The sequence below is a fragment of the Homo sapiens genome, chromosome 9, assembly GCF_000001405.40.
Source record: "Homo sapiens chromosome 9, GRCh38.p14 Primary Assembly".
NCBI classification, from domain to species: domain Eukaryota; kingdom Metazoa; phylum Chordata; class Mammalia; order Primates; family Hominidae; genus Homo; species Homo sapiens.
The window spans coordinates 131,628,476-131,641,660 of NC_000009.12; the positions used below are offsets into that span (position 1 = coordinate 131,628,476).

The following is a 13,185-nucleotide window of genomic DNA, read 5'->3' on the forward strand; positions in this document are numbered from 1 at the left end:
GCTTCAGGAGCCACATCCCTGAGCCCCCCACCCCCTCCCTGCCTTCCCATGCAGGGAACAGGGGCTGCATTACCTGCCTATTGATTCCAACAGGCAAACTGGAGCCACTGGTGGCTCGGCTCATGGGGGCCACCACAGCCACTCGGGTAGGGGACGGCGCCGACTGTCTTTTCTTGGGTGGCAATGCTGGTGGAGGACTGAAACAGACCGAAACGTCCAGGCAGACCAAACCACACTCACCAAAGCTCTTCAGCGTGATATTGGGGTACAGGATGTGGGGTTCTTTCATTACTAGACTCTCCACACCCAATGTTCACACTTCAACTCCTGCCTACTCCCCTCCGCCAAAATAAAACCTGTAAATACCAAATGAACAAAAAAGAACAACCCTTTCTTTTTCTTTCATAATAAATCATACCATGTCTCCCTGGGCTGAGGGCACAAGGAGGCCTTCAGGAGAGCTCAGGGTGGCCAGCGAGGGCCGGCGGGGTGGGGACAGCTCCAGAGTCAGCCTCCCAAGGGGGGCCAAGCCCTCAGCGCTGAGGGGAAAGGGCCCGAGCCCTGTCTTCCTCCCTTTCTTTCTCATTCTGCCATGGGAGGCACTGGACAAATAGGAAGGTAATTACCTATTATCAACCACCCGAATGCCAGGCAGAGGAGGCTTGGGGGGCGCGACCTCTTCATCCGTGGCATCTGGGAGGAGCTCAGTTGACTGTGACATCCCAGTCGTCTTGTTTAGGATCTCTACCTCGCGGTCTGTCAGGGGGAGCTCTGCTGGGCTGGAGAATTGGGAAGAACTTGGGGTTACAGAAGGTCAAAGGCGGGACAGAGCACACACAGGCCCTGAGAGGGTGAGGACGTGACCAGGAAGAACACAGTGGGTGAGGTGGGGCTGAAGAGCAGGCTCCCTGGATATAGAACCCTGGGGTTCTGGTTTGGTTGCTAATGAGCTACTGGAGCTTGGCTGTGCCCCCAACTTTGCACCTCAATTTCCTCATCTGAAAATGATCTAAGGGTTCTCTAAAATGCTCCAGGCCGGGCGCAGTGGCTCACACCTATAATCCCAGCACTTTGGGAGGTCAAGGCGGGCAGATCACTTGAGGTTAGGAGTTTGAGACCAGCTTGGCCAAGATGGTGAAACCCTGTCTCTACTAAAAATACAAAAATTAGCTGGGCATGGTGGCGTGCACCTGTAGTCCCAACTACTTGAAAGGCTGAGGCAAGAGAATTGCTCTAATCTGAGAGGAGGAGGCTGCAATGAGCCCAGATCGCACCACTGCACTCCAGCCTGAGCCACAGAGACTCTGTCTCAAAAACAAAAAAAAAAGCTCCAAATTTATGTTTTATATTTTTACCAGGAGCTTGGAGTAGAGATGAATATAAACCTTTACAACCATCCATGTCATCCTCAGTTTACTCTTGATCAAACAAGAGTGCTCTCAAGTCAAAGCACCCAAACCCAAGCCTTTAAAAGTTCTTTGTCATTATGAAACGAAGCTGCCCAGGAAAAGCACTGGTATGTGTCACTGGATGCGCTCACAGAAGATCCTTGGAAACAGTCATGCTGAAGGGTAAACTTGAGACAGGGCAATACTTCAAGCCTGTGTGAAATATACACACACTGCTAACCACTGAAAAAGGAATATGGGCCTCCAGCAGCCCACCCTCATGCTGCCCACCCCACCGGGCCCTATCCTTGTCAAGTGCAGACTTTGCCACTGAGCGTGACACCCGCGACACGAGGGTTAGTCAGCACCTACCCATCAGGCTTGCTGGCAGGGGAACTGGGCTTCACGGGGCTCGTCGGAGACGGACGTCCCTGCTTCTCGATGGTGAGCCTGACCAGCTCCTACCCCCACAAGAAAAAGGCAATGAGCAAAGCTCCCGTCACCACTGAGTTTCCACCAGAAGGCAGGCAGGTGCTGTCTGTCCTCTGCTGCTGAGTCTCATTTCTGTGCCTACAGATTCCCCACGCACCATAAACGCAAGTATCACTTGCCTTAGGTAATCTGCATGACTTCCCAAATGTCCCCTGCCCTCCAAAAATACCTTCATGGCATGTCAAGTTTCAAATGCGTAAAGGCACTTCCTCTTGGAAGGGGAAATGGCAAACCCCAGCCTCTCAAAATGATTGTTTATCACACAAATTAAAATACTCATCAGAACAGGTTCCCAGTCAGTTTGTTGGGGAATAACTCTGTTCCTAGTTCTCTAAAGCCATTAGATCATATGCACGATGATGGCATGGGTGGTTTCCCAAGGCGAGCTGGCCACAGGTGTGGTGGAGCTGCTAGCTGGTGGGGGTGGGGTGAGGGCTGGCTGGGATCCTTGTCAATGGAGAGGGAGTTAAGGGGAGATAACCCAGCAAAGAAATCACTTTAGAACCATTAACTGAGAAAAACAGAAAAGAAAAATAGCCTTTTTCAAATCGTAGCAAAAGAAAAAAAAGGGAAGACATAAGTGCCCATGTGTTTTTTTTTTTAAATTAGAATGCATTTTTTCCCAGTTTGATGAGTTTTGACAACTGCATATACCCAAGTAAGCGCCACTAAAAACACAAAGAACATTTCTATCACCGTCTCCAGCCAATCTGCCCCGCCCCAACTGTTTAACTTCTATTATCATAGATTACTTTTGCCTGTCCTAGAACTTGATATAAATGGAACCATATCATACATACACTTTTGTGTCAACCTTCTTTTTAAAAACAGCTTTATGGATATATAACTCATATGCCATTAAATTCACCCATTTAAAGTGTACGATTCAGTGGTTTTTAGTCTGTTCACAGAGTTGTGTGACCATCAACACAATCAATTTTAGGACTTCTCATCACCCCATAAGGAAGCTCCGCATTCCCCTCGACCCCCAGCCCCTGGCAGCTGCCAATCCATTTCCTGTCCGCACATCTTTGCCTGCTCCGTCCCCCGAGCTCAGCGTCAACAGCTGTGCTTCGTGTGGGCGAGGCGCCTGCTGCTCGCTGCCAGCAGTGTTCCCACTCGTGGATGCACCACAGCTTCTCCCTCCACCTTCCTGTTGCTGGACATCTGGCCTGGCCAGGGCCTGCATGTGTGTGATGAGGGGCTTCCAGGCTTTCAGCAGAAAGCTGTTTCCAAGTTACAGAGGAGGTGGCAGCGGATGCCAGTGGGCAACACAGTAACCAGAGACCCTGAACCAGCGGCTGCCAAGCCTCTCCAGACTCAAAAAAGCACCACACACAAAAAAGGCAGCGTATGCTGCAAATAAGGCAAAGAGTCAGTTACCATCCTTTCCAGCGCAAGGGTTCTTTCGAAAACAAAAAAACTAGAAGGTGAACACGCCGAAAAAAATATCAAACAAGAAATTTACAGATACCAATGGTCAATAATCATAAGACATTCACCACCTTGGATGGTAATAAAATAGAAACTTCCAGACATGGTAGGTGGGAGCACCACTTCAGACAGCCTCTCCAGAGGGATGACTTATCAGTATATATCAAAAGCCTTAAATATTTGCATTATGAGAATTTTGCACCAGGTGCAGTGGCTCATGCCTATAATCCTAGCACTCTGGAAGGCTGAGGCAGAAGGACGGCTTGAGCCCAGGGGTTCGAGGAGCACTGAACTGTAATCACACTCCAGCCCAGGTGAGAGAGGTGAGAGATTGAGACTCTCTCTTTTTTTTTTTTTGAGACAGAGTCTCGCTCTGTCGCCCAGGCTGGAGTGCAGTGGTGCGATCTCAGCTCACTGCAAGCTCCGCCTCCTGGGTTCATGCCATTCTTCTGCCTCAGCCTCCCGAGTAGCTGGGACTACAGGCACCTGCCACTGCACCCGGCTAATTTTTTTTTTTTTTTTTGTATTTTTAGTAGAGACGGGGTTTCACCGTGGTCTCGATCTCCTGACCTCGTGATCCGCCCGCCTCGGCCTCCCAAAGTGCTGGGATTACAGGCGTGAGCCACCGCGCCCGGCCAAGACTCTGTCTCTTAAAAAAAGAATCCTGTCCAAGAAAAATGTCATGAATGTGTGCAAAAATTAAACCACAAAAGATGGTTATCACAGAATATACATAAGATTACGTATCATTAATGTGGTAATTTTGAATAGTTCAACATCCCACAATTAAATATTTGATAATATGTATCAATTACATAAGTCATGATAGAACCAGACAATGGGCTGACCATTACGTTGTTATTAAAGACAAAGTCACAACAAGAATATGCACTGTATCGTGGAAAGATGCTGTAATACACTGAGTGGAAAAACAGTTCTAGGTGATATGCTGGTTTATATTGCACGTTTTGTAAACAAAGCCAAATCAAGAATATATGTAATACAAAAAATATGGCTATGAAACACCCTTTTATCTTGTTCTTTTTCTATTTTCTAAATTTTCTGAAATGAACATATATTACTTCTGAAATAATAATTAAACAAGCAACCCCGCCCTCCAAAATTAAATGCATATATCAAACTCTTGGGCTCAAGTGATCCTCCTACTTTGGCCTCCCAAAGTGCTGGGATTACAGGTGTGAGCCACCACGCTCAGCCAGGCATATCCACAGATGCAGGTTCAGTGTTACCCTACTCTGTGACAGTTGTTACCCCATTCAGATGTCTATTCTTGAAGAAATGTGGAGAAGCAAAATCTCTAAGAGCCAAGTACTAGCAAGAAAGGAGAACCTTAATACTTGCATGTTAGCACAATTTAGAAGTTAATATTTAAGGGACAGCCATCTAGCTGGTGATTACAAACAGGACAAGATGGAGGAGGAGAGACTACACAATCAGTGAAGAGAGCAGTTAGAAAAGAGGCAGCTCCCTTGCACCCTACCGCCTGGAGGAGGGAGGACGGTGGGAGAAGCAGCTCTTCCTAAAAGCACAACGCCAGGCCCCAAAGAGGAGCATCACGGCCTTAGAGGGAGTTAAAGAGCGCCAGAACACAGTGCCCTGGATGCCCCACTTTCAGATTCACTCTTCTTTACAAGCAGGGCAAAAGGAACAGAGAGAAGTCTGTGTTGTTTGCATCTGTTGATACAGGAAAACATTCCTGGTTCTTCATTGATTCATGAGCAATTATAATTAGATCGTCATCTTTCTGGAGAGGCAGCTGTGAACTCAACTAATGAACAATGGCAAAACAATCCTGGAATGACAGGCACACATGTGCAGACATGTGCCCAAATTCAAAGATGACGTCATGATCCCAATGACGCTCCCTACACTAGCTCGCGTGGCCTAGGCTTGAAAAGACTATAAAAGGGGCGGGCTGCTTTTTAAATTTACCACCTATCTCCCTGCCTAGACAGAAGGTCTTTAGTCTTGACTTGCCTTAACTATCACAGAGGAGAAACCTTAAAATGTGCACATATCTGGCTACTGTGCTAACACCCTAATCTCATTGAAAGTTGACCATTTATAATTTGGCATGAGCCCAACACCTCCTACTGAAGGTAGAATTTTTTGAGAGGGATGTCAGACTTTTTAATTGTCCTGAGGCACGAGTTAGAAAAGACTGAAAAAGGCCAGACGTGGTTGCTCATGCCTGTAATCCTAGCACTTTGTGAGGCCGAGGCAAGTGAATCACTTGAGCCCAGGAGTTCAAAACCAGCCTGGGCAACATGGTAAAAATCTGCCTCTACAAAAATTAGTTGGACGTGGTGGCATGCACCTGTGGTCCCAGCTACTCCGGAGGCTGAGGCTGGAGGATTGCTTGAATCCAGAAGGCGGAGGTTGCAGTGAGCAAGATTGTGCCGTTGTTGCACTCCAGCCTGGGCGATAGAGTGAGACTGTCTCAGAACAAAAAGAAGAAGAGACTACTCTAGAGTCTATGTCTACAGCAGTGACTGGAAACTGCCGACTGGTCACTGAAAATCAGTTTTCAAAAGTCAAAAACGGTATTTGGAAAAGTAGCTCTCCAAATATGTAATACTTTATTTCCATGTTCATTTTATTCATACTGAAAATGATCATAGGTCGGGCGCGGTGGTTCACGCCTGTCATCCCAGCACTTTGGGAGGCCTAGGTGGGCGGATCACTGGAGGTCAGGAGTTCAAGACCAGCCTGGCCAACATGGTGAAACCTTGTCTCTACTAAAGATACAAAAATTAGCTGGGCATGGTTGTACGCGCCTGTAATCCCAGCTACTTGGGAGGCTGAGGCAGGAGAATCACTTGAACCCAGGAGGCGGAGGTTGCAGTGAGCCCAGATCATGCCATTGCACTCCAGCCTGGGCAACAAGAGTGAGACTCCGTCTCAAAAAAAAAAAAAAAAAAAAAAAAAAGAAAATGATCACAGAGAAGGAAGGGCTTAAATAACAGTTGACAAGTCAAAATACAGCTCTGGTGCTCAAGTAACACAGTAAATTACCTGGTGAAGTTGGGAAGAGGTGGGGTACCGATTTCAAAAGATCATGCTGGGATATCTCTTTGGCCTCGAGTGGCTCGGCCCCCCAGCATCCAGGTGCTAGGCTGGGTGTGGTTCTCAGAGAAAAACATTGAGGGTCTTTAAATTCCTCAGATTTCCTTCCTTCAAGAGTCATAATCAGCTCTGAGCTACAGGCTCCCGGTGGAAAAGCAGCCCCAGAGCCAGATGAGGGGACAGGGGTCTATCTTTTACCTGAGATGATAAGACTACCTGGAAAAGAGCCATAATCACTGTCAAAAATGGTCACTGTGAGCCGTTAGAAATGAACACTTCTCCAGGTAACACTGTTTCCCCACTGCCTCCTGGTCACCTAGTTCTTACCAGGTACTTTATATACTTTATCTTACTGAATTTCCTCAAATCTTCAGGGTAAATATTTTAAAACCTACTTGAAACTCAGGGAAGTAACTTGCCCAAGGTTATACAGCTTGAACAAGTGGCATTTATGTGGAGGTTTAAATGATAAATGCTACCATGCATTCAGGGACAAAACCAAAGTAATCCTGTTTTACAACCCATGTTCAATCATTTGAAAAAAAAAAAAAGAGGAAAGACTCCCTTGAACAACTGAATGGGTTACGTAAACAACGGTGAGTCAGTGTAAGAACGTCCAACGCCCCTCCTCCAAGTGGGCTGACAACATCCTCATGAGTGCATTTCCCTTCTGCACAGCTCCAGTCCCTCCCAGCTGGGGGAGGCTCTCTCACGCCACCAGGGCATGGGCTTTTAAGGTGTCCCAGGCCTGAAAGGGACGGTGAGAGAGGCTGGAAGCCAGCTAGCTTGGAGGTGGGAGTGCAGAGAATCCTGTCCTCCCATGGGAGGCAGCAGCTCAGGGTGTCATGGTGCACAGGAGCCGGGGAGGGGGCAGCAGGTTGGGGGTGGGAATCACAGCCTTGCCACTGACTACTGCTCCACCTGAGCCTGAGTCTCCACACCTGTGAAAGGGGCAAGGGGCAGCCATTTATGCCTATTATGGAGGGTTGTCATGAGTATTAAGTGAGGACAGTGTACAAAAAGCACCCCATAAATGTTAGCTGTTATTACTATTAGACAATAACAACAAATGCCAGCGTCACAGTGTCTCGATCACTCTCACTGTCTGTAATGACTCCAGCATGAAAAGCTCCCAGCCACAGGCAGCTCCTGTCCATCCTCCAGATGCTGGCCTGTCTCTTCCTTGGGGAAGCGTCTCTGACCACCCTGAGAAAGGAAGGTCATCATACCCTTTCATCACACCCTGTGCCATCTTCCTTGGCAGCGCTATACCACATGGGTGTGCCTTTGTGTTTACGGTCCTGCCCCCCTTAGACTGTAAGTGCCATAGGGCAGGGTCTGTGCCAGCTTTGCTCATATTTCCTATTATCTCTCATTGCCTGGCATATAGAAGGTTCTCACTAAATGCTTCTTGAATAAATGAAACAAAACTGAATTTGTAAAGCTTCTCACCTAGAGAATCTTTGTTCTGGCTAAAATATTTTTAAAGCAATTGTGGAAAAGTTATTTGCTCTGACATTGACAAGTTCATAACCTATAGGTTTCTCTCTCCTTTTTTTTTCCCCAGTCACTTTGAAAAATCAAGGAAATTTTTCTTTCAGACATGCCTTTCTACTAATGAAGTGGTGCTGTAATGACTCCATAGAGGAAATGTACTTGGGACTGCCACAGAGCTTTATGAGTGGAAACTCATTCTCCTCTGTTTTGGCTGCTCTAACTTGTGAACATCTCATCAGAATCAATTCGATAGAAGGAAACCTTAACAATGTTACCTGAAGAATAACAATTTTCAATAATAGCATTTTCAGAAGCCTAGACAGGAACAGCAGGGGTGGGTGGGCCAGAGTGACTCAGGGCTGCTGATAAAGCCCCAGGCCACGTTCCACTCTGCTCTGCTGAACCCAGTGTGCTACTGTGAGGACCAGATATGATAATGTACGTGCCTGTCCTCCAAATCCTGGAAAGGGCCATCAGCTCTGATCACAACAGCCACCCTGGGCTACATCCTTGAGTCTCGCTGCCCTAAGCAGATACTAGTAACTTTTTGGAATGAAGGGAACATGGGGAGGCTGGGCGCAGTGGCTCACACCTGTAATCCCAACATTTTGGGAGGTCGAGGCGGGCAGATCACCTGAGGTCAGGAGTTCGAGACCAGCCTGGCCAACATGGTGAAACCCCATCTCTACTAAAAATATAAAATTAGCTGGGTGTGGTGGCTCACACCTGTAATCCCAGCATCTCGGGAGGCTGAGGCAGGAAAATCACTTGAACCCAGGAGGCAGAGGTTGCAGTGAGCCGAGATCGCACCACTGCACTCCAGCCTGGGTGACAGAGTGACATTCCGTCTCAGAGAAAAAAAAAAAAAAGGAGAACATGGGAGAATTCAGAGGAAAATATTGATGTCATCTAGGCAAGCCCCTTTTACATGAACTCTATGGCCCCAGCAGACACGTCAGCCTCCCCTTAAATGCTGCTGGGGTTGGAGGGCCACCCAGATGTCCTGGCAAACACATATTTCATTCTGGAGCAATTTGCAATGCTGAGCAATGCTTTCTCAGCCTCTCTCTATAATTTAAGTCCTTTGGGGGTCCTTATTCTACTCTCCAGAGCTGCTGGGGAATGTTAAGCCAAGGAGGCAGTTTTCAGGAATTTGTTAGCCTCGTTGAGTGGGAAGGAATTTTTTTTGACCTGGGGTAAACACCTCAGCTATAATTTTGGATTGAGGGGTCCAGAAAGGAGAGGGACACAGGTTTTTCAAGCCAAGAGATCTGTTTACAAAGCATGCATCTAGCACCACATAATTAATAATAAATAGCAGCTAAGGCCTGACTGCTCCGTATGTGCCAGGTGCTGTTCTAGAAGCATTATGTGTATTGACTAGTGTAATCTTCCCTATAACCCTGAGATGCACGATGCTATTATTATACCTATTTCATAAAAGAGTTACTTAAGGTGCAGAGCAGTTGAGTAAACTGTTCAAGTTCATAGACTACGAAGTGGTGAACTTGGGATTCAAATCTAGCCAGGTGCTAAGGCTGGCCCCTTTCTACTACATTATATGGCCTCACACAACAGCGGGGTTTCCACTGTCCTGCTGCCTGCAGCCCTGGCCCTGACCCAAAGGCCCTTACCTGGTTCATGTCCAACATTCTGTCTTGCTTCCCATCCGCTAGGACTTATTTTCTCTATTAGGATTTGTCCCCCTGACCCCAATTCCAGACCTTCTATGGCCTTTGCTTCCCATCTTAACTAGGATTCACAATTTCTTATGCTGTTTCTGACTTCTCTGGATAGCAAATACACAGACCACATCACGGATATCAAGTAAATACAGAAAGTTCCATTTCTTACTCATCTCACTCCTGCTTTTCTACCAAGAATCCTAGAAGCTCCCAGAACATGAAAAGGTAGTGCTGATATGACATGCTGGGAGCTTTGCTTAAAGTCATTGTGAAAACGATCTCCATTGCATTTTGTCTAGCTGGCAAGCATGCTCAGCCAGCACGATGCTACGAAGACTCACTAAGATTTAATGCAGTGCTCAGTAAGGGCTGACTGCTCTAGACAGCTTTTCCCTAAGAGCCATTCGCACCAGTCCTGAGAGAAGTAAGTAGTTATGGGATAGAGCGCACCAACACCAGAGACGCAGAAAGACATTCTAATGTTTGAAGGTCAGGAGCAAGCTCTTATGTGACAAGCACCAGCAGGCAGGCTGCTCTAAGTCCCTGACTGGGACTGTCTGGAACCTGCACCGGTACCTTCACTCCATCCAGCACAGCCTTGATGACCCCCTTCACAGTCGTCACCATCTCCTTGTCTTCTGAGTTCACGCCTTCCAGCATCACTTGGTCAGACCAGCGAATGAGGTTGGCGAGGCTTTGGTACACTCGGCTATAGCAGGAAGAGAGGGCTGAGCTACAGGGAAGAGAAGAATGGAAAAAAAGAAAATCTAAAGCATGACCATCACTTAGCACAGAGCCAGCTTCTCGGTGACAAGGGTGTGTTTCTCCAACTTTCTTTGTGCAAAATCCATACTGCCTTTTAATAAGCAAACTTCTCCCATGAGACTTTTTCCATACATCCAACAAAGATTTTGTGGAGCTTTATATTCTAATCTGTGTTTCAAAATTTTTTTCATTTCCCAAATGTAACATTACAAAAATTCCACCACGATAGTTAAGATGCTTTTTCAAACTTCACATCCTTCTACAAGATTCTGATCACATCTCTCAAGGAGTGCCCCATCTTCCCCTCCTTCTAGCTGCTAATCACTAGACCAGGTCCAAGCAGTGTATACTGATTGTTAGCAATTAGAATCAAATCTATTTTAGATGTGCCACAAGGAGCCGACAGGTTTGCGGAATTTTAACAGTCATGAGCTCAAAACAGGTCTGCAGTTTATTAGAATTCCTCCGTCACGGGGCCAGCTTCATCATCTTCTGCACTATAACGATGAGACAGACGTCAGGAGCGCACGAATGAAGACTATTTTGAGAATAGCAAATCAGGGGTGACGGGGCCTGTGATGGTGGTGGGGATGTGAGGATGGGAACGCAGGTGAGTGTGTGTGTGTGTGTGTGTGTGTGTGTGTGAGAGAGAGACCACGCTACCAGCTACACTGTGATGCCAGCGCCCACAGACAGAAGCCCTGAGTGCCTCAATGATTGTAGAGTAGCAGCCGAATGGAGAATTTTTACATCTTTCACGTATTTTTAAATAACTAAAGATAATTTTCCCTAGGAATTGTGGAAAGGATTATTTTTCCATTTCAAACAATTATCACAGAGGAAGAGCAACAATATAGAAAATTTATGTGCTGCAACCTCCTCTACTCCAAAAAAACACACAAAAAACAAAAAAACACCCCAAAATGATGCAGATTTAGGAGCCAAAGATATAACTTTGAGGAAAATATATAATATTGTAAGATATGATTAAAACAGGTTCTAAAAACAAAGCTATTTAGAACAAAAATGTGAACCAAATAGTGCTTTAATGAGAAGCTCTTCAGAATCAGGCAAGGAGGAAACAATTTTTGCAAGGATCTAAAGTTTCCATTTAGCCAGGCGTTCCACTCTGCATGTTCCAACAGGAGAAAAGGGTCGGCAGGAATGAAAGCAAACTTTTCAAGTCCATTAGAAACAAACAAACAAAATTCCTAAAGGAGCCCTGAGAAAGCCAGGATTGGGTATTTTAGAAGATTATATGGATGAAAAGTATTTGTTGTTGGAACTACTCTCTTAGGAAAGAGGACGGAGAGGGGAAAACAAAGACCCTGCAGTCTCTCCGGGGGTTGGACCAGAGCTGATCTGATCCTGCAGGGGAATGTGCTTCTAACGGCTGGGCTGGACCTCGCTCTGCTTCCTGGCAAGGCCAGGTGAGGCATCTTGAAAGAAGCCTGCTGCCTTCCCCTGATGTGCTGTAGGAGGATTCCACCGGAGAAAGCATCTCACTGTCACACTGCTGGTAACAGTGAGGTGAAAGAGGGGAAACACTTTTATTCACTACTTCCTTTCTACCTGCATTGGATGCTAACGTTTCCCGGAAGGTGCTGGAATTATGTCCAGCCTTCCCGTCATTAGCTTGGAAGCAGAATATTCCTGTGTCAAGGGGCTAAGACATAAGAAAGGAAGGAAAGTTGAGGACTATAAAAAATGCCATCTGAGGCCCAGCTGCTGGCTCAGTTCCACAATGGAGCAAAGCCCTCCGCATGTGACGAGTGTGACTCTCGCTCTCACATGGGCCTCTGCGTGCCTCACTCGGGAATCCTCCATTCAAAGCTCATGCTAAGAGCCAGCTGCTTGTTGGAGGCCAGCCTATCACTGTCTCAGGAACCGAGGTGAGGGCGGCAAAGGGCCTGTTTGCAAGGACCCCCCACTCCCTGCCCCACGGAAGAAACGAGAAAGGACCTTCCAGCTCGCAAACTGCACTTAGGGAGGAAAGAGATAATGCAAAGCATCTAAAAGGAGCATCTGAGGAGGTATTTCCAATCACTGTGGGAGACCAAGAAAACCACCTCCACTAGCCTGGAAGAATTTCAGAAGGAAAACCCCTTCAATGGGATTAGTCAAAGGACTACCAGAAAACAAACCATATTTCATGGGTCCTTACAGCCACACCCAGGCACTTCCCATTTTCTCCTCTAGGAAATGGTTATAGACATTCAATGTCAATTAAGAGCCACCCCTCAATAGACAAAAAATACCCCCAGCCATTACCATGTGACTTCATCAGTTCTTACCCAGGGTTTGCAAGTGACCTCCAAGCAGAGCCTGGCTCTGGGAAGCAACACTTCTAGCAGCAATACACTCTGGGTGTGAGGGTCCAGGGGACGCTATCCTGGACTCTCCCAAAGAGGCTTAGCGCCTGAGGGTGCAGGGTGATCAGTCGCCTCTTCCCACTGTTCCCCTCTCGTCCATGCTCTAGGACATATACCCTCTGCCCATGACTGCCCGAGTCGCCGCCCTCCCCTCCCCGGGATACACCAGGCCCAGTGGCCTCAGTTCCTTTGCTCTTGTTCTCCTGCCCCCACTGCCAATCCAACTGCTGCTTTCCCTCAGGTCGGGCTCCAGGAACTACTCAGTCAAGAGGCTTCATCAGATCAACTCCAACACCCCTGTAACTCTCCCTTCTTCAAACTCCAACACAGCTTCCTCCCTGTACCGTAAAATAAGTGCTTTATCGTAGAACAGAGGGAGCTGATTTGTTTCAACTAGGCTTTAACTATTCCAAGGCAGAGACTACCACATGAGACTAGGTCCACAAAAACATGTTCTAAGAGGGA

The 13,185-nt window shown here is 47.0% G+C and overlaps 1 protein-coding gene across 29 annotated transcripts in view, besides 2 other annotated features; it reads right to left on the bottom strand.

Annotated features, from left to right (window-relative positions):
• RAPGEF1 (Rap guanine nucleotide exchange factor 1) overlaps window positions 1–13,185 on the bottom strand; it is a 163,302-nt gene that overhangs the window by 51,701 nt on the left and 98,416 nt on the right. For all 29 annotated transcript variants that reach the window (NM_001377937.1, NM_001377938.1, NM_001304275.2 and 26 more), the window contains 4 exons: window positions 10,160–10,316; window positions 1,761–1,849; window positions 627–779; window positions 74–197 (listed from right to left, as the gene is read on the bottom strand). In NM_001377937.1, coding sequence (NP_001364866.1) covers window positions 74–197; window positions 627–779; window positions 1,761–1,849; window positions 10,160–10,316 — 523 coding nt within the window. The remainder of the gene's footprint in view (window positions 1–73; window positions 198–626; window positions 780–1,760; window positions 1,850–10,159; window positions 10,317–13,185) is intronic.
• Window positions 308–1,057: an enhancer, noted in NCBI's record as "H3K4me1 hESC enhancer chr9:134504170-134504919 (GRCh37/hg19 assembly coordinates)". NCBI's record gives its function as "activates a minimal SCP1, AML or CMV promoter by ChIP-STARR-seq in primed H9 embryonic stem cells {active_cell/tissue: H9 hESC(primed)}" and the evidence as "EXISTENCE:reporter gene assay evidence [ECO:0000049][PMID:30033119]".
• Window positions 8,187–8,481: an enhancer, noted in NCBI's record as "tiled region #12258; K562 Activating DNase matched - State 5:Enh". NCBI's record gives its function as "activates a minimal TATA promoter and a strong SV40 promoter by Sharpr-MPRA in K562 cells {active_cell/tissue: K562}" and the evidence as "EXISTENCE:reporter gene assay evidence [ECO:0000049][PMID:27701403]".